Raw genomic sequence first — 26,413 nt, 5'->3', positions numbered from 1 at the left:
GTCACGATCAGAACTCTCTGTTTTGCAGAACTGAAACTCTGTACCCATTAAACAATAATTCCTCATTTCCTTATCTTCACAGCCTCTGACAACCATTATTCTACTTTGTGTCTAATTTTGACTGCTCTAAGTACCCCCTATAAGTGCAATCATACAGTTTTTGCCCTTTTATGATTGGCTTATTTTACTTCGCAGTGTCATCAAGTTTCATCCATCTTTAGCATGTTTCAAAATTTGCATCCTTTTTCAGGCTGAATAATGTTTTATTGTATGTATATACCACATTTTGCTTATCCATTTACCTGTTGATGAGCGCTCAGGTTGCTTCCATGTTGTAGCTATTACAGATAATGTTGCTATGAACAGGAGTGTACAAATATCTTTTTGAGACCCTGCTTTGAATTGTTTTCCCAGAAGTGGAATTGTTGGATCATATGGTAATTTTATTTTTAAAATTTTGAGAAACTGCCATACTCTTCCAGAGCAACTGTACCTATTTGCGTTTCTACCACTAGTGCACAAGGGGTCCAGTTTCTCTACATCCTTGCCATCACATATTGTGTGAGAGTGTGTGTGTGTGTGTACTTCAATAGTAGTCATTGTAGTGGATATAAGGTAGTATGTTACTGTAGGTTAGTGACCACGAAACTTTTTATGAAACATTTTTTAATAATATTTTGTGGAATACAAGGTTTGTTTAGAGGTTTTGAGAAGACTGAAAACTTAGGAAGCTACTGAGGGGAATGGGTGAAGAAGTGGATCAGAAGTTGAGAGTCTTGACTGGCTGGCTACCTGAAATCAGAAACCGTATCAGAGTAGGAGAATCTCATTCCACTGAGTGACTAGTTAAGATTAAAGACTTTATCACATTTGAAATTTAAAGACTTTTCTCCAATAGCCAGAAGATTATGCATGGTATTTTAGGGTTGGATATTAGCAGAGCTGATGGAACAGAATCATTAGTGGCATGTGCATAAGATGTTAACATTGGAGTATTTGAATTTATATGCTGTGGATGATGGCCATGATTGGAAAGGTTGGGATGCCAGACCAAAGTGTTGAGTTGTTTTAAGAAAAGCCTGAGGTCTAGATAACAGCAAGATGGCAGACTAGCACTTTGCAGCACTCATCTCATTGTAGAACCATCAATTTGAACAACTGTCTACACACAAAAATATAAGAGCTAAGAAACCAGACGAGAGATTACCTGAATGTGGCACACAGATAAGAAAAGACACATTGAAAAGGGTAAGAAGGACAGTTTTACATTACTTGTGTCACACCTCCCTCAGTCCCTGAGATCCCAGCATGGAGAGAGAGACTGTTCACCTGGGGGAAGGAGGGGAAGTGTACACCAGACTTAGACCCTAACATTGAGCTCGCCCCAGTAAAACTCAATGCTAGGCAGGCCCCCATGGCCCCAAACTTCAGGCCAATACCCACAAACCAAGCTTGGAGGCCCACCCCAGCACCAAGCTGGATCCCACAGCCCTAGGCTCTAAGCCTGTCTAGTGCTAGGGTGGTCCCTGCAGCCCTGCCCTCTAGATCGGCCCCTGTGGCCTCACATCACTGCAGAACAAGGGTCCAAACCCAGTACTTGGCCAGCCCCTTGTGATCCAAATTCTAGGCCAACATCCACCTACCCAGCCTTCACACTGGTCCTTGCAGATCCAAGGTTCAGGCTCACTCTAGTAGACCAGGATGCCAGGCCAGCAGCACCTGTGTACCAAGGCTCCAGGACCTACCCTGCTGACCCAGACTCCAGGCCAGCCCCGGTAGACTCAGGCTGCATAATCTCTGGACAGGCTGACTGGTGAAGGGCTTTACCCAATAAAGTCACTCTGCAAAGACTGGAACAAGTCTCAGCTTCTTCAAATGTGCAGGTGCCAACACATGACTACAGGGATCAAGAACAGTCAGGGAAACGTGACACCAGTCAAAGGAACACAATAAGGCACCTGAACCAACCATAAAGAAATGGAGATATATGAACTGCCTGACAAAGAATTCAAAGTAATTGTTTAAGGAAGCTCAATGAATTTCAAGAAAATGCAGATAAACAATTCAACAAAATCAGGAAAACAGCAATCAAAATGAGAAATTTTGAGATTGAAATTATTTTTTAACAAATTCTGAAGCTGAAAATGCAATAAATGGAATGAAAAATGCAAAAGAGCATTAAAAGCAGAATTGAGCAAGCAGACAAAAGAATCTGAACTCAAAAGACAGGTTATTTGGCTAGACTAAGGAAAAAAGAGATGACTCAAGATAAAAAAAATAAAGAGTTGTGTTTTTTGATGATAAAAGCAACAAGTCTTTAGCTAGACTAAGAAAAAAAGAGATGACTCAAGTTAAATCAGAAATGAAAGAGGAACCATTGCAGCTGATACCAGAGAAGTACAAGAAATAAGAGGATCATAAGAGACTGAACAATTATATGCCAACAAATTGATTACCATAGAAGAAATGGATAAATTCCTAGACACATGCAACTTGTCCAAGCTTAATCATGAAATGAAAAATGTGAACAGTCCAGTGACAAGGATTGTATCAGTCATAAAAATATCTCCCACCAAAGGAAGCCCAAGACTTGGTGACTTTACTGCTGAATTCTAGCAGACATTTAAAGAAGAACTAGTACAGATTGTTCTCATAATTTTATGAGAAATTTAAGAAGAGGGAGTAATTTCAAACTCATTTTGGGAGATGAGCATTACCTAGATACCAAAGCCAGACAAGAACTCTCCAGGAAAAGAAAATTACAGACCCGTATTCTTAATTTAGATGCAGAAATTCTGAAGAAAATAATAACTAAATTCAACAGTGTATTAGAAGGATCATTTACTGTGATCATATGGGATTTACCTCAAGGGTACAAGGATTATCCAACAGACCTGAATCCATAAAATGTGATATACAACATTAGGAGAACAAAGGCCAAAACCATGTTATCATTTCAATAGATAATTGAGATAATTGAGAAAAAGCATTTGACAGAATTCAGTATTCTCTTGTGCTACAAAATTTTAAAAAATTAAGTATAGAAGGAATGTACCTCTATAAAATAAAGGCCATATTGACAAACACACTGCTAACGTTATACTGAATGTTGAAAAGTTAAAAGCTTTTCTTTTGAGATCAGGAAGAAAACGAGAATGCCCACTTTTGCCATTTCTATTCAGCACAGTACCGGAAGTCCTTGCAAGAGCAATTAGGCAAGAGAAAGAAAAGGCATCCCAGTAGGAAAGGAAGACATTGTTGTCCCTGTTTGAAGATGACATGATCTTGTATATAGAAAAACCTAAAGACTCCACCAGAGAATTGTTAGAACTGATAAATTCAGTAAAGTTGTAAGATATAAAATCAAGATACAAAAATCCGTAGAATTTCTGTACATTAATGACAAATTATCTAAAAGAAAAATCAAGAAGACAATTCCATGTATAATAGGTACCAAAAACAAAACATGCAGTGGCTCCCAGTATCAGTGGTTCTGCATTTGCAAATTGAACCAACATTTGGATGAAAATATTTGAGAAAAAAATACAACAATAAAAATACTGTTTTCTTATACAATAAGGAAACTACAGTATAGCAACTATTTACATAGCATTTACGTTGTATTAGGTACTAAGTAATGATTTAAAGTATACACGAGGATGTGTGTAGGTTGTATGCAAATACTATACCATTTTATATAATGGACTTGAGCATCCATGGATTTTGGTATCTACAGGAGATCCTGGAACCAATATCCTGCAGATACCGAGGGATGATTGTACTTAGAAATAACTTTAACCAAAGAGTTGAAAACTATGTAACATTGATTAAAGAAATTGAAGATGATACAAATAATGGAAAGTTATCTTGTGTTTATGGATTGGAAGAATTAATATTGTAAAATGTTTTTATTATCCAAAGCAATCTGCAGTTTTAATGCAATCCTGATCAAAATTCCAATGTTAAATTTCACAGAACTAGAAAACAGTGCTAAAATTTATATGGAACCACATAAGATCCTAAATAGCCAAAGCTGTCATGAGTGAAAAGAACAAAGCTGGAGACATCACACTATCTGATTTCAAAATATAGTTCAAAGCTACAGTAATTATAACAGCATGATAGTCACATAGAAGTAGACAGGCCAGGCACAGTTGCTCACACGTGTATTCCCACACTCTGGGAGACTGAGGCAGAAGGATTACTTGAAACCAGGAGTTCGAGAGCAGCCTGGGCAACATAGTGAGACCCTGTCTCTAAAATTAAAAAAAAAAAAAATTTTTAAAGCCAGGCGCGGTGCTGTGTATCTGTAGTCCTAGCTACCCGAGAGGCTGAAGAAGGAGGATTGCTTGAGCTCAGGAGCTTAAGGTGGCAGTGAACTGTGATTGCATCACTGCACTCCAGCCTGGATGACAGCGTGAGACCCTGTCTTTTAAAAACAAAAGAAACAAAAAAACAGACACATCGACCCACAAAACAGAATGGAGAGCACAGAAATAAATTCGTGTACTATCAGTTGATTTTGGACAGGGTGCAAAGAACACAGCGGGGAAAGGGAAGTCTGTTCAATAGGTGGTGTTGGGAAAATGGAATATCTACATGCATGAGAATGAAATCAGACCTGTATCTCACATCATATACCAAATTCAAGTTAAAATGGATTAAGGTCTTAAATATAAGACCTGAAACTGTAGAACTACCAGAATAAAGTATAGGAGAAATGTACATGACATTGGTTTGGACAGTGATTTTTTTGGATATGACCCCCTCGAAGCACAGGCAACAAAAATAAAAATTGATGAATGAGATCACATCAAACTAAAAAGCTTCTGCATGGCAAAAAGAAAAAATCTACAGAATGAAAAAACTCACAGAATGGAAGATAGTATTTCCAAACCATATATCTGGTAAGGGGTTAATATGCAAAATATATAAGGAACTCAGACATCTCAATAGTAAGAAAGCACCTCACTTAAGAAATGGGCAAAGGACTTGAATAGACATTTCTCAAAATAAGACATACAAATGGCCATTAGAATGGCTATTAAAGTATGATGAGGATTTGCAGACAAGAGATATATTGCGCATGGCAGGAATGTAAATTAGTACAGCATTTATGGAAAATAGCATGACGTTTGCTCAGAAATTAAAAAATAGAACTACCATATGATTCAGCAGTCACACTTGGATATATATGTATTTTTATATATATATATATATATATATATATATATATATATATATATAAATAAAAGAATAAAATCAGTGCGCTGAAGAGATCTGTACTCCCATGTTCCTTTCGGTATCATTTGCAATACCCATGATACAGCATCAGCCTAAGTGTTCATGGATAAAGAAAATGTGGTATGTATACACAGTGGAATATACTTCAGCCATAAAAAGGAGGAAATGCTGTCATTTGTGACAGCAGGGATGAACCTGGAGGGCATTGTTGAAAGTAAGCCAGCCACAGAAAGGCAAATACTACATCTCTCTTAAATGTGGAATCTTAACTCAGGGATGTAAAATGGTGGTTACCAGGGGCTGGGGGTGAGTGGACTGGGTTGCAGAGGTGTTGGTCAGAGGACACAAAATTTCAATTAAGAGGAATTTGTTCAAGGTATCTATTGTACAACATGGAAACTAGTTAATAACAGTGTATTTTTGGAAATCACTGAGAGTAGATTTTAAATGTTCTGCCATAAAATATAAGTATGTGAGGTATTGCATGTATTAATTAGCTTGATCTAGCCATTCCACAGTGTATACATATTTTGGAACATCATGTGAATACAATAAATATGTATCCTTTTTTTTGTTTTTTGTGTTTTTTTTTTTTTTTTTTTTTTTTGAGACAGAGTCTTGCTTTGTCACCCAGGCTGGAGTGTAGTAGCATGATCTTGGCCACTGCATCCTCTGCTTCCTGGGTTCAAATGATTCTCCTGCCTCAGCCTCCCAAATACGTATCATTTTTATTTGTCACCAAACCTGGTGTCTTGACAGGTGAAAGGAGATATGAGTATGAGTGAAACTCTTACAAAGATAGCTGAGATGATCATTGTCAGAGGTTTTAGTATGTCTAACAAAGACAAGGGAGTGATTTGCTGAAATGAGGAGGTGAAGATGTCTCAAATTTAGAAAGGCAAATATTTTGGGGGCCTAGAGTATTGGGATAGAACCATGTACAGGGACATTGAAGTCACTTTGCTGATGATGTAACTGGGGGCAAAGTGGAGGCTTAAATATGTGGGTTTAATTGACCAGAACAGGGAGGGAAAGAGAAGGCATTCGGTTAGATGACATGAGTTTCAAATTACAAGCTGTTTTTTTGTTGTTTTTAATACAGGGAATTTTGCCGTTTATTTTTAATACAGGGAATTAGAAGAATAATGGTGGACTTAGGAGTTTTAGGAGTCACATAAAAGGGTTGCATGATAGGCAGTGCCTTTGGGGAGGAGCCAGGCTTTCATGAAAGCTAAGAAGTTGAGGGGCCATTATGTAAAGTAGTTGAAGATGGGGGATAGCCTATGGGTCTTCAGAAAGCCTCTGGGTTTCTAGAGATCTTTCTGGAAGAGGTTAGGAGGATGAGTCAAGTTTAGAATGGAAGAGGATAGATGAAGCTTGCATTTGGTAGTAAAAACCAAGGATGAATGTGTGAGGCATGATTATTTGTCACAAGTTTCCAGGTGACACTCTGGCACTCAGTCCTTGTTGAATTAAGCAAGCTTTCTTACTGTTTTACTTGGCTGTGTTAAAGTAGAGTAACAGGAAATTAGACTTCCCATAATGTCTCAATAGAGCTGTTTTAAGTTTCTAGCCATAATTGGTATGGGAATATAGCTCTAAACCTTCAAGGCTGCTACCATTTCTCACATTCCTATATCTAGAAACTGTAGCCAGGCAGCACTTTCAGTGAGGTGAGTGGGTCCAGGTTTGTTCAATTACTTTTGTACCAACCTAATACCTTAATAGTATTTGTCCTAATTTACAAAAATAGGTAATGAAGGATTCTTGGTTTTACCTCAGAGCTAACTGTCCATTAATGGCAACATCCCACATTTGTTGAAGCATGATTTTGTTGTTTGTACTTTGACATGCATTTGATATTTTAAGTAACGCCTTGAATGCATCTTAAATAATAATTTATATACAGTTAACACTCCTGTTTGTTTTTAGGAATTCTTAGTGTTGCCAATTTCCTAGGATGTAGAAGAGCATAGTAAAAAAAAAAATTATTAATACTCTTAAACAAGTGTTTTTAACAACTGGACACCATTTTGTAGTTAAGCCTAGAAACAGAACTAATGCAATAACCCAGATCTTTTCATTTATTCGTATGTTTATTTTACCTGGATTTACTTTAGTTTTTTGTTTTGTTTGCTTGTTGTTTGAGATATTGTCTTGCTCTGTCATAAGTGATACAGCTAGAGTGCAGTGGTGTGATCAGAGCTCACTACAACTTTGAATTCCTGGGCTCAAGTGATCCTCATGCCTCAGCCTCCTGAGTAGCTGGGACTACAGGCATGTGCCACCATGCCAGGCTAAAACAGTGTTTTTGTTTGTTTGTTTGTTTTTTGTAGAGACAGGGTCTCACTATGTTGCCCAGGCTGGTCTTGAACTCTTGGCCCCAAAGTAATCCTTCTGCCTTGGCCTCACAAAGTGCTGGGACTACAGACGTGAGCCACCGTGCCTGGCCATGGATTTTGTTTAAATTTATAAATACCGTGTTGTAGAATCTCTTTGTATGTATTAATTTAGACACCTTAGTTTTCTTAATGATTTCATACCAGTTTCTCAGTAACTTCAGATTTTTTTTTTGAGATGGAATCTTGCTCTGTCACCCAGGCTGGAGTGCAGTGGCGCAATTTGGCTCACTGCAACCCCTGCCTCCCAGGATGAAGCAATTCTCCTGCCTCAGCCACCCGAGTAGCTGAGATTACAGGCATGTGCCACCATGCCTGGCTAATTTTGTATTTTTAGTAGAGACAGAGTTTCACCATATTGGCCAGGCTGGTCTTGAACTCCTGACCTCGTGATCTGCCTGCCTCGGCCTTCCAGAGCGCTGGGATTACAGGCTTGAGCCACCGCACCCAACCAGATCAGATTTTTTATGTTTGGTATTTACTCTTTACCTCTAACACTAAGGCTATGTTTCCAGATGTATAACTATAAATGGAGCAGGGGTAAATACAACAAGTGATTTATGGTTCAGTAAAGCAAGTTAGTTTTAATAAATGCTCAGTTTACTGTAAATGTCAGAAATGCCCCAGGACTCTGTCTATTGACAACTCTTCTATTTCCATCGTCAGCTCTTGCCCTCTGAACTGTAGACTGATTTATCCAACAGTTAAGTCTGGTTCTCAAACTTAACCTGTCCTAAGTGGAGCTCCTGATTTTCATCATCCCAAACCTACGTCTCTCATAATATTTTGCCATCTCAGTCAATAACAGCTTTTTTCCCCTCCTGTGCAGCCAGAAGCCTTGGAAGCATCTTTTAATTTCTCTATGTCACATACTCAAATTATTGGTAAATCTTGTTGGCTACACCTTCCAAATACCCATAATTCATTTTATTTTTTTTAACCATTATACTTCTGTTTACTCTGTTTAAAGGCATCATCTTTTGGCAAAAGAAAGAAATTGTTTCCCAGGAGTCTTGTGCTTTACAGTGTATTCTCTAGTAGCAGCCGGAATGATCTTTTTAAAATCTGAGTTAAACCATGTTATTTACTATGCACAGAACTTTTCAGAGGCTTCCCATCTTAAAAGTAAAATCTGGAGATTTACATGGCCCTGTGTGAACTGGCTTCCTTTCATTTCTGTGATCTCTCTACCGCACTTGCTCATCTCTGTCTAAAATGGCTGTATCTTTGTCATCTTAAGGCTTGTAACTATTGTCTGTGACCCTGTGACCCTTCTCTGTGATAATCCATGTGGCTTCCTTCCTCACTTGATTCAGAGAGCTCTCTGCTCAAATGATGCTTTTCCTGACCGGCTGCATCAAAGAATGATCATGTTCTTCTGCATTCCCCTTAACTTGCTGCATTTTTCTTCATGGGATTTAATGTCATTTGACTTCTTGCATATTGATTTCTTTGTTGTTTTGCTTCTTTACCACTAGAATGGAAGCCTAATGACAGTGCCTGGCATACAGTAGGTAGTCAGTAACTACTTCCTACATGAAAGAATGAAGCTAGTAAATTTATGCAAAATGTTTGTTTCTGCCTTTTTAATTATCTTGCAGAAATGTAGGAAGAATTTTTTAGGATCAGTTTATGTATATATATAAACTGATAAGTATGTACACAGCCTGTAGAATGTGGGTAATACCACCTATCATCTTTTTGAGCATTTACCATGTAGCAAGTGACTGTGCTCCATAATCCACATGCATTATCTTGAATTTGATAGGAGAGCTGAGCTTTTTAATCAGAGTAGACCATAGAAATATAGCTTGGATGCTTTTATTTCCTATATGACTTCTTCGGTGTACTTACACATCTATAAGCATTTATGGGTCAAGTAACATACTGAAATATTTTCTGAAGTAAAAGAAATCTCTTTAATCAAATAAGTGGTTCTCCTATAGGTTCTCATATCATATTCTTGGTCTCCAGATTGAGAAGGTCCTTTTGTATGCTTCCAGTATACTCGAAACCAGGAGGTAGTCTGACATCTATTTCCCTTCAAGGTCAAATAATTAGAGAAAGGTTTAATTGACACTGTTATCGAGACAGTATCAGAAGAGAAATTGAAAAATCTCTGTTGAGACTCTGTAATTTGCTAGGTTCTGAGGATACGACAGTAAATAAGTTATTAGGTCATATACCTCAGCTTCCCATTTAATTAATAGGCAGTTATTATATATAATAGAATAGGTACTGGTTGGTATGAGACTACAGAGGAAGAATACCTAATTATCTTAAAAGTGGTATATAAGCTGAAACCTTGAGGATGCTTGGGAATAGCTAAGAATCATAGTGTTCTAGGCAGGAAGAATAACACCTGGAATCAGAGAAGACAGCAGAACAAGTCCACTGAGTAGTAAGAAGTTCCGTATTGCAGTAATGTAGAGTTAGCTGATGGGAGAAGGTGTGAAAAAATGCATTTGGATATAGAAAGCCAGGAGCACGCTAAGGCCCTTTGCTTTCTTCTGACAGACACAGGAGCCCATGAAAGGCATCACGTGTGGAAGGAAGTGACACGAGTCATAGTCTGCCCTGCTTTTCTACCACCTGAAGCATCATATAAACCTATATCTTCTGTTTCAAATGTAAGGAAACATACTTCTAGTTCACAGTAGGGATAGTTGAATGGATGAACTGTTTCTGGCTGAATCTTCTCAAAGTAGAATGAGCAAAACATGGCTATATTATGAGATTATCTAAGGAAAGATTTTTATAATCATGTGAATTTTGAATTTCTTTATATCTTAATTATTCCAAGAGATTTTTGGGAACATTAATGAGAATAGTTTACCTTTAGTACATAGAACTTCTTGTCAGCTATAAATGAGGATCAAACCCAAAAGAGATTAACAAAAATAAAAGGGATGCTATTTCCCCAAATTAGCAGAACTTTTTGATTCACCGAGTTCTTTGTTTTTTAACTGCTGTCTGCCTCTTAACATAATTGAGTATTCAGTGATATAATATAAATAAATCACTTACTAAATGCTGATGAACGCTTGTTTTTACTAACATCTCAGCTTGTAGCATATCTTGTTGCCCATACCAGAAACCCTACCCATTACCTCTGGCTCTTCCAGCTTATTTACCTCTTACAAACTACTTATTTTAAATATTTCCTGGGTCAATTTCATCTTTTTTTTTCTTCCTACTGCTACATTATTTGTCCGGACTATTACAGTAGTCATTACCTAACTGGATTGCTTGCCTCCAGTTTTGCCCACTTTGGTTTCAGTTATTGAAAAGGCAAATTTTGTCAGTCACTTAACCTGCTTAAAACCCTTCAGTGACTCCTTGTGTTTTAGTTCTTATCTAATGGTTTATGAATGTAGTGGGTTACGAATCTTCCGGAAGAGTGCATTTGCACTCCTGAAGTGTGCATGTATTTTTATGAGGAGAAGATCTTTAGCTTTTATTAGATTACTCCTCTTTTGGCTAAAAAAAGAATTACTTATCATGGCTATTGAGGTCTTCCATGATCTGGCTTTTCCCTGCCTCTCCATTTTCATATTTTTGAAACTTTTCTTGAACTTTAGGCTCTTGAAGTGCTTGGAATTGTCTTATAATATCATGTTTTCAGGCCCCTGTGCTTTTACTCATTTTCCTCTATCTGAAACATTCTTCCCCTGTCTGAAACATTCTTCCCACCCATAGTGTCATCAGCTCCTAGTCATCTTTTGTGATTCACCTCTCCTAAGTTGCCTCTCTTTTTATTGCTATTCCTCTGTAGTCATCTCTGTGATATTGAAATCGTGGCTTTCTCTTTCTTTAGACATCATAATTCCTTGAAGAGCCCTTTTTATGTAGCCTGACAAGCAGAATTTATACTGAAGTAGACATTTGGAAGTCATTTAGTTATTGCTCAATCCTTGAAAGATGAAACTGTCCAAAGGGAAATTTAAAAGGGAAAGTATCTAATAGCTGATCCCTGGAGAATACAAATGTCTCTAGATTTGGAAGGGAAGTCTCTGAAAAACAGCCAGAGAGAAGGGAGGAAACCAAGAAATAGTGTCCTAGACCCAAAAGTCAATAATTTCCAAAAGGTCTATATTTCTTAGGAAGGCCAAGTAAAATAAGTAGTGAAAAGTGATGACCTGACTAGAGCAGATTCTTCATTTCCAGTTACAGAAGCTAGGTTATAGGTACAGTAAGCTCTGGACATGTTCTTTTCCCACATGGAACGTTATTCGTGTTCTCCACTGCTGCTTTGAACTATTCCTTTTACTCTCTCAGCATAAAAATCCCTGCTCCTTTGAAGCTTATGCCTTCTGGTTTTGTCTTCCTCTGTCTGCCTTCAGTGAGCTATCAGTTTCTTCTCGGTTTTTGAGGACTGCTACCTGAACTTATTCTTCTTCACTCTTTCCCAAATCTGCTGCCATCTTTATTTATATGATTAACCCCTCAGTCCCTAGCAAGTCAAATTCCCATCCGTTTTTATCTACAGTAATGTTCACCTCTGCATCACTGCTGCTTCCCATGTCTACAGGCATGCCAACTCAAAACTGTTTTACCCCAAAAGCTTCAGTGAAAACACCTTACCTCAGGTTGCCGTCTTTGAATGCTTTTCTACTATCTTAAACTTGTTTTCTTTCATTGCGCCTTTTCTTCCTTCTCTTAGAGACTTGTCCTATGGCTCTTCTACTGTCTTCCAGCTACAATTCCCTCTTGTTCCTGACATGTACTGCTCAGAGCCAGGAGATGGATAAGTAGTAGTATTTCACATGCACTTTTTTCTCTGGGGAGCAGTAGTCATACAATAATTGATTAAGATAAAACAGGTTTTTATCAGTTTATATAAGAGGTAAAGAAAACAATGGGGTAGAGTTTTAAAAATTGTCAAAAACAACACATTTTACCATATTAATGATTTGAAGTGTACGGTACAATTGTGGTAACTGTGCACATTGTTGTGCAGCAGATCTCTAGAACTTTTTCATCTTGTAAAACAGAAACTCTACATTCATTGAACAACTCTTCTTTTCCCCCTTCTTCCTATTCCTTGGCAAATGCCATTCTACTTTTTGCCTCTAAAATTTGACTGTTTTGGCTACTTCATGTCAGTGGAATCATTAAGTATTTGTCTTTTGTTGACTGGCCTATTTCACATAGCAATGTCCTCAAGGTTCATTTGTGTTGTAGCATATTACAGAATTTCTTTCTTTTCTTTTAGGCTGAATAACATTTTGTTATATATGTATACCACATTTTCTTTAACCATTTGTTGATGGATGTTTAGGTTCCTTCCACTTCTTGAATATTGTAATGTTGAAATAAACATGGGTATACAAATATTTTTTTGAGAACCTGTTTTTAATATATTTGGAAGTATACCCAGGTGTAGGATTACTGGATCATATGTATTCTATTTTTTTTTAGATTTTTTTTTTTTTTACAGGAGTTCTAGGTTCACAGAATTGAGAGGAAGGTACAGAGATTTCCCCTGTACCTCCTTCCACACACATGTATGGATTCTCTCATAGCCAGTGTGCATCTCCCACCAGAGTGGTACATGTCTTTCTGATGAACCTATATTGATACATCATAATTACCCAAAGTCCGTAGTTTATATTAGGGATCATTCTTAGTGCTGTACGTTCTGTGGCTTTGAACAAAGTACAATGACATGTATCTACCATTATATCATACAGAATGTTTTCACTGCCCCAAAATCCTCTGTGTTCTGCCTATTTATCTTTCCTTCCCTCCCACTCCTTGGCAATCACCGATCCTTTTACTGTGTCTCTAACTTTGCCTTTTCCAGCATATTATATACTTGTAATCATACAGTATATAGCCCTTTCAGCTTGACTATTTTTACTTACTAATATGCATTAAAGTTTCTTCCATGTCTTTTCATAGGTTGTTAGTACCTCTCTTTTTCCATTTTCTGGACATATCACAGTTTGTGAATGAATATTCACCTAATGAAGGACATTGTGGTTGCTTCCACATTTTGCTAATTATGAATAAAACTGCTGTAGATATCGGTGTGCAGGTTTTTGTGTGGACTTAGGTTTTCAGCGACTTTCTGTAAATACTAGGGAGTGCAATTGCTGGATCTTATGGTAAAAGTGTTTAGTTTTGTAGGAAACATCCAAACTGTCTTCTAATATGACGCTATCCTTTTACATTTTTCACCAGCAATGAGTGAGTGTTTCTTTTGCTCTACATCTTCACCAGTATTTGGTGTTATCAGTGTTCTGAATTTTGTCCATTCTGATAGGTGTGTAGAGGTATCTTATAATTTTAATTTGTGTTTCTCTGATGCCATATGATGTGTGGGACATCTTTTCATATGCTGAATTGCCATCTGTATATCTTTGGTGAGGTGTCTGTTAAGGTTGTTGGCCAATTTTTTAATTGGGTTGTTTGTTTTCTTGTGGAATTTTAAGAGTTCCTTACACTGTCTCTGTCTGTCTTGTCTGTCTGTCTGTCTGTCTGTTGAGACAGAGCCTCGCTCTGTCACCCAGGTTGCAGTACAGTGGCACAGTCTTGGCTCCCTGCAACCTCTGCCACCTGGGTTCAAGTGATTCTCCTGCGTCAGCCTCCCGAGTAGCTGGGATTATACCCGTGCACCACCACACCTGGCTAATTTTTGTATTTTTAGTAGACACGGGGTTTCACTATGTTAGCCAGGCTGGTCTCGACCTCCTGACCTCAGGTGATCCACCCACCTTGGCCTCCCAAAGTGCTGGGATGTGAGCCACCACACCCAGCCTCCTTACACATTTTAGTTAATAGTTCTTTATCAGATGTGTCTTATGTAAATATTTCCTCCCTATCTGTGGCTTGTCTTTTCATACTCTTGACATTGTCTTTTGCAAAAGACAACAATTTTTAAGAAACAAGTAGACAATTTTAATGAAGTCTGGCTTATCAGTTCTTTTCTTCATGGTTGGTACCTTTGGTGCCGTATCTAAAAGTCATCACCAAACCCAAGATCTAGATTTTTTCTTATGTTATCCTCTAGGAGTTTTATAGTTTTGAGTTTTACATTTAATTCTCTGGTTTATTTTGAGTTTATTTTTGTGAAGGGTGTAAGACCTGTGTCTAGACTCTTTTTTTTTTTGCATGTGGATGTTCAGTTATTACCACTGTTTATTGAAAAAGACTATTTTCTTCATTGTATTGCCTTTGCCTCTTTGTCAAATACTGCCATTGCTCCTTTGACTATGTGGGTCCATTTCTGGGCTCTCTATTCTGTTTCGTTGGTCTGTTTTGTCAGTTCTTTTGTCAGTACCACACCATCTTGACTACTGTAGCTTTACAGTAAATCTTGAAATCAGTAGTGTCCATCTGACTTTTTCTGTCAATATTGAGTTGTCTCTCACGGGTCATGGAATAGCTCTTCATTATTTAGTTATTTGATTTCTTTCATCAGAGTTCTAAAACATTTTTCCTCATATATCTTGTACTAATTTTGTTAGATCTGTACTTAAATATTTCATTTTGGGACACGCTAATGTAAAATGGTATTGTGTTTTTAATTTCAAATTCAACTTATGCATTGCTGGTTTACAGGAAAGCTATTAACTTTTTTATATGAACCTTGTATCCTGCAGCTTTGCTATAATCACTTATTAGTTCTAGGAGGTTTTTGTTGTTTTTCTTTTTCTTTTTTTCAATTCCTGTCTATGTTCTACACATATAGTCATTTCATCTGCAAACAAAGGCAGTTGTATTTTTTTGTTCCCCGTTAGTATACCCTTTATTTCCTTTTCTTGTCTTAGCTAGGACTTCCAGTATGGAGTGGTGAGGTGGGGATATTCTTTTCTTGTTCCTGATCTTAGTAAGAAAGTTTCTAGTTTCTCATCATTAAGGATGGTGTTAGCTGTATGTTTTTTGTAAACGTTCTTTATCAAGTTGAAGGTGTTCCCTCTATTCCTAGTTTACTAGTTTCTATCATGAGTGGGTGTTAAATTTTGTCACATACTTCTCTCCATCTATGGTATGGTCATGTGATTTTTCTTCTTTAGTCTGTTGATATGGTGAATTGCATTAATTGATTTTCCAATATTGAACCAGTCTTGCATACCTGGGATAAATCCTACTTTGTGCTGGTGTATACTTCTTTTTATACATTGTAGTAAAATTTAGTTTGCTAATACTTTGCTAATACAAAGATTTTTGCATCTTTGTTCATGACAAATATGGGTCTGTAGTTTTCTTTTCTGATAATGTCTTTGTCTGGTTTGGGTATTAGAGTAATGCTGACTTCATACAATGAGATAGGAGCATCTCCTTTGCTTCTGTCTTCTGAAGGAGATTGTAGAGAACTGGTGTGGTTTCTTCCTTAAATGTTTAGTAGAATTCATCAGAGAATCCATCTGGGCCTGATGCCTTCTCTTTTAGAACATTATTAATTATGGATTTAATTTCTTTAATATATGCTTTTTAATCAAGATTATTTCTTCTTAGAGTTCTAATAGATTGTGTCTTTTAAGGAATTGATTCATTTCATCTAGGTTACCAAATTCGTGGCCGTAAAGTTGTTCATAATATCCCTTGATTATCCTTTTAATGTCCATGAGATCTGTAATGATGTCCACTCTTTTCATTCTGATATTAGTTATTTTGTCCTTTGTCTCTTTTTCTTAGCCTGGCTAGAGGCTTATTGATTTTATTGATCTTTTCAGAGAACTAGTTGATTTCTTTGATTTTTCTCTATTGATATCTTGTTTTCAATTTCATTGATTTCTGCTCTAATTTTTATTACTTCTATTTGGATTTAATTTGCTTTTTCTAGTTTCATAAGTTGGTAGCTCAGATAATTGATTTTTAGATCATTCTTTTCTTTTCTTTTTTTTTTGAGATGGAGTCTCGCTTTGTCGCCCAGGCTGGAGTGCAGTGGCTCGATCTCGGCTCACCGCAAGCTCCGCCTCCCGGGTTCACGCCATTCTCTTGCCTCAGCCTCCCAAGTAGCTGGGACTACAGGCGCCTGCCACCACGTGTGGCTAATTTTTTTGTATTTTTAGTAGAGACGGGGTTTCACTGTGTTAGCCAGGATGGTCTTGATCTCCTGACCATGTGATCCACCCGCCTCAGCCTCCCAAAGTGCTGGGATTACAGGCGTGAGCCACAGCGCCCGGCCTAGATAATTCTTTTCTAATAAATGCATCAGTGTTGTATGTTTCTTTCTAAGCGCTGCTTTCACTGTATCCCACAAATTTGGATAAGTTGTGTTTTCATGATATTTTCAATTTATAATGGTATTGGGACACAACCCAATAAGTAAGTTTAGGAGCATTTGTATGCATAAGCACAATTGTTGACATTATTTTGAACAAATTCTTATTTGTTAGATCAATTAAGTATAAGAAAAATAAAAGGTTTTATTTTACTTTCAGTGTTTCCTTCTTTTGATGCTCTATATATGTAGATTTCAGTTTCTGAACTTCCCAACACTTATTGCAAGGCAGGTGTACTGACAACAAATTTCCTTAATTTTTGTCTGAGAAAGTGTTTCTTTTTAACTTTTGAATAATAATCTCACAAGGTAGAGTGCTAGGTTTATGGTTTTTTTTTCTCTCAACACTATGAATATTTCACTCTTTTTCTTGTTGGAAGTCACATGTATTTTTTCTTTTTTTTCTTTTTTTCCTCTACAGGTAAGGTGATTTTTTCCCTCTGGCTTACTTCGGATTTTTTTCTTATCCTTGAATTTCTGTAATTACAACGTTTTATGCCCAGATGTAGTTTTTTGGCATATTTTCAAGCTCAGAGATTCTTCATCCATGCCCAGCCTACTAATAAGCCCATCAAAGGCATTCTTCATTTCTCTTACAGTGTTCTGTTTTTTGTTTTTGTTTGTGTTTTATCTCTAGCACTTCCTTTTGGTTCTTAGGATTTTCATCTCTACTTTTTTAACATGTTGTTTACTCAGTTCGTTAGGGCCCTTAGCATATTAATCATAGTTGTTTTAGATTCCAAGTTTGATAATTCCAAATCCCTGCTGTATCTGGTCCTGGTGCTTGTTTTTTACCTTTTATTATGCCCTGTAATTTTTTTCTTGATAGCTTGGACATGATGTACTAGGTAAAAGGAACTGTTGTAAATGAGCATTTAGTAATGTGGTTGTAAGGTGTAGGGAGAGGAGAAGAGTTCTGTAGTCTTATGATTAGGTCAGTCTTTTTAGTGAGCTTATGCCTCTGGACTGTGAACTTCACAAGTGTTTCTCAATCCCACCCCTCCCTCATTCCCTTAGTTAGAACAAGATAGCTATAATGGCCTGAAGTTGGGTTATTTCTCTTCCCCCACATCATTTTGGCTTTGCTACAACCCCAGCAGGTTAGGCTCTGGTTAACTAGTTTCTCCTGAGGACAAACCTTGTTAAGACTGGAATAGTCTAGTGTACTTGAAAATCATTTCTCTTTGCCTCCCCTGCTGAGGGTTGAGGATTTTTCTCCTATATTTACTGTGAGAAGCTGGTCAATTGCCTGGATGTAAAACTTAGAAAATTGTAGGGCTCCCCCTATAATTGGGTAACTCTGGAGTTTTTAGCTTTCAGAGTTGTCCACACTGAGCCTTCATCAATTTGTCTATTACACTTCAGGATTTCCTACCCCGTGGAGGTTTCTGCTTGTGTTTTTCATCTCAGATAAATGGTGATGCTATGTGTTCACCTGTTCTCTGCTCTCACAGGCAGTCATTTGCCCTGTGACCTCACTTATCCTATCTCAGATTTGTTTATTTTTAAGTTTGTCATTTTTTACTTGTTGTTAGGATGGAGTGGTGACTTCCAAGCTCTTCATATGTGGAACTGGAGGTAATTCTATTTCAAATTTTTTGAGGGACCTTCATGTTGTTTTCCACAGTGCCTGGCACCATTTTACATTTTCACCAGTGGTGCATAAGGGTTCCAGTTTCTCCATATCTTCACCAATACTTATTTTCTGTTTTTTTAATGGTGGCCATCCTAATGGTTTCAGATGATGTATCATTGCAGTTTTAATTGACATTTCTCCCTACTGATCAGTGATGGTGAGAATCTTTTCATGGGCTTATTGCCCATTTGTATATATTCTTTGGAAAAATGACTATTCAAGTCCTTTGTCCACTTTTTAACTAGATTTTTTGTTGTTGAATTGTAGGAGTTATTTATATATTCTGGATATTAACCAAATAACAGATACATGGTATAGAAATATTTTCTCCTGTTTTGTAGGTTGCCATTTTACTCCATTTACTGTTTGCTTTGTAGAAATTTTTGAGTTTATGTATCCCCAGTTTGTCTATTTTTGCTTTGGTTGCTTGTGCTTTTGGTGATCTATTCAAGAAATCATTGCCAAGTCCAATGTCATGAAGCTTTTTCTCCATGTTTTCTTGTAGTAGTTTTATAATTCGATGTTTTAAGTTTAGGTCTGTAATCCAGCTTGAGTTCATCTTTGTATATGGTGTGAGATAAGGCTCCAACTTCATTCTTTTGCATGTTAGATTCCAGATTTCCCAATACAGTTTGTTGAAGAACCTCTTTTCCCTATTTCTGTGTTCTCTCTTCTGCTCACTTGGTCTGTATATCTGTCTTTATGCCAGCACCATAGTGTTTTGATTACTATAGCTTTGCAATATCTTTAGAAATCAGGGAATGTGAGGCCTCTAGCTTTGTTTTTTGTCCAGATTGTTACGGCTATTCAGGGTCCTTCAAGATTCTGTATTAATTTTAAGATTTTTTTTTTCTGTTTCTGTAGAAAATGCCATTGGGATTTTGATAGGGATTGCTTTGAATTTGCAGATTGCTTTGGGTAGTATTGCCATCTTAACAGTACTAAATCTTCCAATTCATAAACTTGGATGTCTTTCCATTTATTTGTATTGTCTTTAATTTCTTTCAGCATTGTTGTATAATTTTCTTTTTCTTTTTTTTTTTTTTTTGAGACAGAGTCTCACTCTGTCACCAGGCTGGAGTAGAGTGGCGTGATCTTGGCTCACTGCACCTCTGCCTCCCAAATTCAAGTGACAACTCCTGCCTCAGCCTCCCGAGTGGCTGGGATTACAGGCGCGCGCCACCAAGCCCAGCTAATTTATTTTGTATTTTTAGTAGAGACAGGGTTTCACCATGTTGGCCAGGATGGTCTCAATCTCTTGACCTCGTGATCAGCCCACCTTGGCCTCCCAAACTGCTGGGGTTACAGGCGTGAGCCACCACGTCCGGCCTATGTTGTTTAATTTTCAATGTACATGTCTTTCATTTGCTTGGTGAAAATATTCCCTAAGTATTTTTTACTCTTTGATTTCATTTTAAATGGGTTTAAAAAATTAATTTCCTTTTTGGATTCTTCATTTTTAGTATTTAGAAATGCAACTCTTTTCTTAATATTGGTTTTTATATCCTGTAACTTTACTGAATTCCTTTATTCTAACGGTTTTTTTTCTTTTTGGTAGGCTAGAGTTTTCAACATAAAAGATCATGTCATTTGCTAACAGAAGTAATTTTACTTCTTACTTTTCTCATTTAATACCTTTCATTTCTTTTTCTTGCCCAGTTGCTAACTCTGGCAGGATGTCTAACAGTATGTTGAATAGAAGTGGTGAATGTGTGCATTCTTGTTCCATTTGTGATCTTAGAGGGAAAACTTTCAGTTTTTCATCATTGAATAACATTAGCTGTGGTCTTTCTATATATGGCCTTCATTATGTTGAAGTAATTTCCATATCTTTCTAGCGAATTGAGCGTTTTTGTTTTTGTTTTTTTGAGACAGAATCTTGCTCTTGTCACCCAGGCTGGAGTGCAATGATGCTATCTCACCTCACTGCCAGCTCCGCCTCCCGGGTTCTCAAGTGATTGTCCTGCCTCAGCCTCCCGAGTAGCTGGAATTACAGGCGCCCACCACCATGCCCGATTAGTTTTTGTATTTTTAGTAGAGACAGGGTTTCACTGTGTTGGCCAGGCTGGTCTCACACTCCTGACCTCAGGTGATCCACCCACCTTGCCCTTCTAAAGTGCTGGGATTACAGGCATGAGCCACCCTGTCTGGCCTTTTTTTAAATCCTAAAAGGGTGTTGATTTTTGTCAAATGCTTCTTCTGAGTCAGTTGAGATTATTGGTTTTTGTCCTAAGAATGCAGTGTATTAAAGTGATTTTTTTGTATGTTGAACCATCCTTGGATTTTATGAATAAATTCCAGTTGAGAATTTATGAAATATAATCTTTTTAATGCATTGTTGAATTCTGTTTCTTGGTATTTTGTTGATTTTTTTTGCATCAGTATTTATTAGGGATTCTTTTTTCTTGTAAATTTGTCTGATTTCGATATCTAAGTAATGCTTACCTCATAAAATGATTTTGAAAGTGTTCTGTCCTCTAGTTTTTTCAAAGAGTTTGAGAAGGGTTGTTAGTTTTTAAATGTTTGGTAGAGTTTTCAGTGAAGCCCTGGCGTTGTTGGACAGTTACTGATTCAATCTCTAATAGTTATAGGTCCATTCAGAAGTTGTATGTATTTGTGGCTCAGTCTTGGTGGGTTTGATGTGTCTATCCGTTCTCAAAGGTTATCAAATTTTTTTGGGTCATAGTTGTTCATATTAGTCTTTTAAGGTCCTATTTATTTCTGTGGCAGCAGTTGTTGTATCGCCTTTCTAATTTCCAGTTGTTGCTGTTTGTGTCTATTCTCTTCATTTCTTAATCTAAGAATTTGCCAGTTTTGTTGATCTTTTCAATAAAACAGCTACTCCTAATTTTGTTGATTTTTTTTCTATTGCAAAAATTTTCTATTTTTCTCTATTTTATTTTAGCTGTAATTTATTTTTATTTTTTTTATTTTTTGGTAAGTTTGAGTCTCATTTGTTCTTCATTTCCTAATTCCATAAGATGTAAAGTTAATTTGTTGATTTAAGGTTTTTCTTCCTTTCTAACTGTGAAATATGACACTGTAAAACAGATTTTCATTTTACAGATGAATTATGTAAATATTTAGTTCTACAATTTTACTTTTTTTTTTATCATATATCACGCATTCTGGATATTGAGACTATAAAAATGAAAAAAACAGTTCTTTTCTTTTCTTTTTTTTTTTTGAGACAGAGTCTCGCTCTTTTGCCCAGGCCACAGTGCAGTGGCTCTGTCTCGGCTCACTGCAAGCTCCGCCTCCCGGGTTCATGCCATTCTTCTGCATCAGCCTCCCAAGTAGCTGGGACTATAGGCGCCCACCACGGCGCCCAGCTAATTTTTTTTTGTATTTTTAGTAGGGACGTAGTTTCACCATGTTAGCCAGGATGGTCTCGATCTCCTGACCTCATGATCCGCCTGCCTCGGCCTCCCAAAGTGCTGGGATTAGAGGCGTGGCGTGAGCCACTGCACCCGGCCATAAAACAGTAATTGAAGGTTAACCTATATTTCAAACAACTGAAAATACTGATTTGTTCATATTTATTTTTTCATGAAAATCGTCTTGTTCTATATTTAATAGGTTTTTGTTCGGTTCATGGTACTAATGAGTTCACAATTGTAGGTTTAGTCTTGAAATAATCTAAATTCACTTCATCCCATTGTAACAGACCCTACATCATACTGAATATAGTTGTGTCACAGATGTCTCTTACAGTCTATTTCTACAAGGCCTAGAACTATTTAGGATACCGTTGCTCACTCTTACAAATTTTAACATTAAAAATAACTTTGAGATGGAATGGAGTTTTGCAACGTCTCAGAACAAAGAGACTCCACTTACGAGAAATTACTAAGCAGTGGTTCCTAGCTTTATAGACTAATTATATAAGCCTTCAGTTGTTTCTATTTTATATCTGTTTTTTAGATTCCTCACATGTTCATTCTGCTTTACCTTCTGTATAATATAAAGGTCACTCTACTTACAGTCACATTTTCCTTTTAATCTTTCCGTTTTTATTTTTTATTCTTTGCTTTGTTCACCATTAGTTTTTATATTGCATCTCACAGTTCATGTTTCTTTTTTGTCATTTCTGATTCTAATTGTAATTCTAATCTTACTTGTTTGGCGTTCACTGTCACATCTTCACTTTCTGGCAGCTGTTTCTATGGCTTCATCTTCTTAGTGCTTGTATTCATTGCTTATATTCCAGTTGTCTTGTAAATTCATTTTTTTAGTGAACTAAGCCAGACACGGAAAGACAGATATCACATGTTCTCACTGATATGTGGGAACTAAAAAAACATTGAACACAAATTTTACAGCTGACACACATATGCCTGCCACCTAGATTCTGCCATTAATACTTACATTGCTTTATCGTATAACCATCCTTGTATCCATCAATCCATCTTAATTTTTATGCCTTTCAAAGTTAATTGCTAACATTAGTACACATCCCTCTAGGTGAAACCATTTTTAAACTGATTGCTGTCAAGTTGTCTAGAGTAAACTCTGATCTTCCAAGTATGACTTATTCCATAGGACTTCTGTTTGTAGCACTGTCCCATTAATTCAATCATAGAAATAAATAATTGGAAAGTATTGTCTGTTTTAAATGGATAAGTATTTTCATGTGTCTGACTTTAGAGGACTTTTACTAGAAGGTCTCACTTGACCTTCATTGCTGACTAAATAAGAAAAGTTTGTTTTATTTTAAAAATCAACACATTATAACATACTTTGTTTTTTGAGTAATAAGAAAAGTCAATGGAATGTGAAGAAATTATAGCAAGTAAGCTGTTGTTCCTCTTCTAGGAATTTTGATTATGAACAGCTGATAAGGTATTACTAAGGGATCTCATCAGGGAAATTCCTTTCTTTCCTTCTTTTTCTTTTGCATCCTCTCCCTTTCCTCACTTTCTTTTCCCCTTTTTCCCTTTTCCCCTCTCCTCTTCTTTTCTTTAATAGTACTTGGGGAAAGGTATACCTTTTATTTTACGGATTTGCTCAGGGTAAAGAGAGAGTTAAGAGGCCAAATGATTAGATGGCAGGGTCACTGGAGGGCAGAGATAAATAATAGATCCTAAACTAAGGGTTGGCAAACATTTTCTGTAAAGGGCAGGTGGTATTTGTTTTAGGTTTTGCAGGCCTAAAGTACTCAACTCTGCCATTGTAGTATGAAAAACAGCCATAAACTATATAGTATATTGTATTAGTCCTTTTTCACGCTGCTGATAAAGACGTACCTGAGACTGGGAAAAAAAAAAGAAGTTTAATTGGACTTACACTTCCACATGGCTGGGAAGGCTTCAGAATCATGGCGAAAGGTGAAAGACACTTCTTGCATGGCAGTGACAAGAGAAAATGAGAAGGATGCAAAAGCGGAAACCCCTGATAAAACCATCAGATCTCGTGAGACTTACTACCACAAGAACAGCATGTGGGAAACTGCCCCCATGATTCAGATTATCTCCCAGGGGGTCACTCCTACAACACATGAGAATTATGGGAGTACAATTCAAGATGAGATTTGGGTGGGGACACAGAGCCAAAGCATTATCATATATAGTATATTTATAAATCAATGAACTTGGGTATGTTCCAGTACACTTGATGGATACTGGAACTTGAATTTCTTATAATTTTCACGTTACAAACTATTATTATTTTTCAAACTTTTTCCAGCCATTTAAAAATGTAAAATATTCTAAGCTTGAGAGACATAAACAGGTGGTGGACTCGATTTGACTTACGAGCTATGATTTGGTGACCCATATGGTACAAGGATTTCCCTTGCGCAGGAACTATACCAAAAAGTCGTTATTAGTGTATACTTTTCCAACGTAGAGGCCCTTTTATGTGCTCTAAATTTTGTATGCCTTTTACATATCCTAAATTAGATAGTGATGCAGATGAGGTCAGATAAATTAAGGTGTCATTGGAGTGAGGAAAAAAGAAGAATGCTTAATATAGTTGATTCCACCATTAACTTGGAGGTTCTGGCATGGCTTCCTTTAGTCCTGTCTCATCAGTGTAGCTGCTATTTGTTAAACTTGGCACAGAAAGGCAGATCAAATATAGAGGGCTACTTTCAGATCCTCCTCTTAATAGTTATTAAAAGCTCAAGTTTAGTAGCTGAGTTCAAATCTCTTATTAGATGTATGACTTATGTAATTTCTCTGAGCATCAGCAGAATGAAGGTTTATAGTGCTAACTCATACACTTGTGAGGGTGATAGTAACAATTACAACAATAATAGTAGTAGCTAACACTTTCATAGTGCTTAGTATGTGCCAGGCAATGTTCTAAGCACTTTATATATATTAACACATTTAATTTTCTCACAATTGGTAATGTGAAGAAGAATAATACTCTCACCATGATAATGCTCGTAGATACTACCATTTAAATTACGAGGAAACTTACGTCCAGAAAGATCAAGTAATTCATTCAGGGTCACATAGTTAATTAAGAGGTAGAGCCATTATGTGAACTTGGGCATCTGGCCTCAGAATGCGAGCTCTTAACTGTTAAGGTTTATTCCCCTCTAAAGTGGGAATGTCTATAAAATGCATAGCACATAGGTCCTCAACAAATTAGAGAGAAATTAACTTTGCAGAATATAGTGGTTCCATTTCCTCAAGAAACTTGGTCTGCCTTTGTGGTACCAGATAGATGCATAAATGTGAGGTTCACGTTATGATTCTTCAGATTTTTTTCCCAGTTGCACATTAGTTATGAGATTTTTTTCCATAGAATTCTTCAGTATTACTCATGTTAAAAAATAATTATTTTGAAATGAATCACCTTCTGCAAAACAATATAGTCAAAATGACTTAGACTCTGAAGCTGAAAGACTCCTGGACTCCTATTCTTGTCTTGGTTCTGTACTTTCTTTGAGATCTTGGTTTCGTGATTTGACTCCAGTTCTATTTCTCTCTTTGGCTGTGGACTGAAGATAATCCTCAATGTCATGGTATTCAAATGAGATAACCCATGTCAAAGTGCCCCGCAGTGTGTGTAATAAGTTATCAGGCATCCAGCAAATACTAGTTTCTTGCTCACCTCCCTATTACATAAAATAACTTTAAAATTAGAACTGAAGGGACTCATAAAGCTGGGAAAACTGAGGCCCAGACAATTGTTTCCCTAGGATCCTACAGCTGCTTAGGGACAGAAGGATGACACTTAATGCAGATCTTCTGATTTTTCAGTCTCGTTCTGTTTGTGCTGATCACTCTCCTCCTATGTAGTATATAAAGAAGTACTATGTATCTGACAAGTTTTGGGGAGGTTATTTTAGTATAAAAGCTCACATTAAAAATATCTATTTTGGTATTTTGACTTTTGTAATTTTTTTAAAAATCAGAGACAATTTAGTAAATCTCGGGGCCATTCAAATCATGTATATGAAGTTTTATAACTGCTATTGTTTTCCCCTTATAGTTATTAATTTTTAATATGCAAGTAGCATCCTTACTATGGAAAGAATAAATAAGAAATCAAAAGATGGAAGAAGTTTTAAAACTCACTTAATCACATCATCCAGAGAAAATGCTATTAATGCTTTGAAATAACAATGGGTTCATCCTACACCTGCTACTTTTTAACTGACTTTTGTCAGTTAGTGATATATCAGGAAGACTAGGCAGTTCTTTGTCGAATTCAAATCTTGATAGTTTTTATTTTATTGTGTGACCTATTATCAGTTCATTTAAGTAATCTTTTATTAGACATGTTTTTTTCAGATATAGAAACAATGCATTTTTGTAAAATTGTCAAATTATTTTCCACAAGTAGGATCTCATTCACACGGTATTCGTGTTTTTAAGACTTTCGATACATGTTCACTGTTTTCCTCCAGAAAGGAAATACCTACTTACATTTTCACCAGGGAAGTCA

The 26,413-nt window shown here is 36.7% G+C and overlaps 1 protein-coding gene and 1 long non-coding RNA gene across 50 annotated transcripts in view; one reads left to right on the top strand and one right to left on the bottom strand.

Moving 5' to 3' along the window:
• SNHG14 (small nucleolar RNA host gene 14) overlaps positions 1-26,413 on the bottom strand; it is a 595,855-nt gene that overhangs the window by 15,444 nt on the left and 553,998 nt on the right. The window contains exon 147 of the long non-coding RNA NR_146177.1: positions 12,228-12,423. This is a non-coding gene — a long non-coding RNA (small nucleolar RNA host gene 14). The remainder of the gene's footprint in view (positions 1-12,227; positions 12,424-26,413) is intronic.
• UBE3A (ubiquitin protein ligase E3A) overlaps positions 1-26,413 on the top strand; it is a 105,329-nt gene that overhangs the window by 35,038 nt on the left and 43,878 nt on the right. The window contains exon 5 of one of the 49 annotated variants that reach the window (NM_001354523.2): positions 10,161-10,273. The exons of the other annotated variants lie outside the window; for them this stretch is intronic. Coding sequence (NP_001341452.1) covers positions 10,272-10,273 — 2 coding nt within the window. The 5' untranslated portion in view covers positions 10,161-10,271. The remainder of the gene's footprint in view (positions 1-10,160; positions 10,274-26,413) is intronic. 49 annotated transcript variants of the gene reach the window in all.

Source organism: Homo sapiens, chromosome 15 (genome assembly GCF_000001405.40).
Source record: "Homo sapiens chromosome 15, GRCh38.p14 Primary Assembly".
NCBI lineage: Eukaryota > Metazoa > Chordata > Mammalia > Primates > Hominidae > Homo > Homo sapiens.
This window is presented reverse-complemented; position numbering and strand designations above follow the sequence as displayed.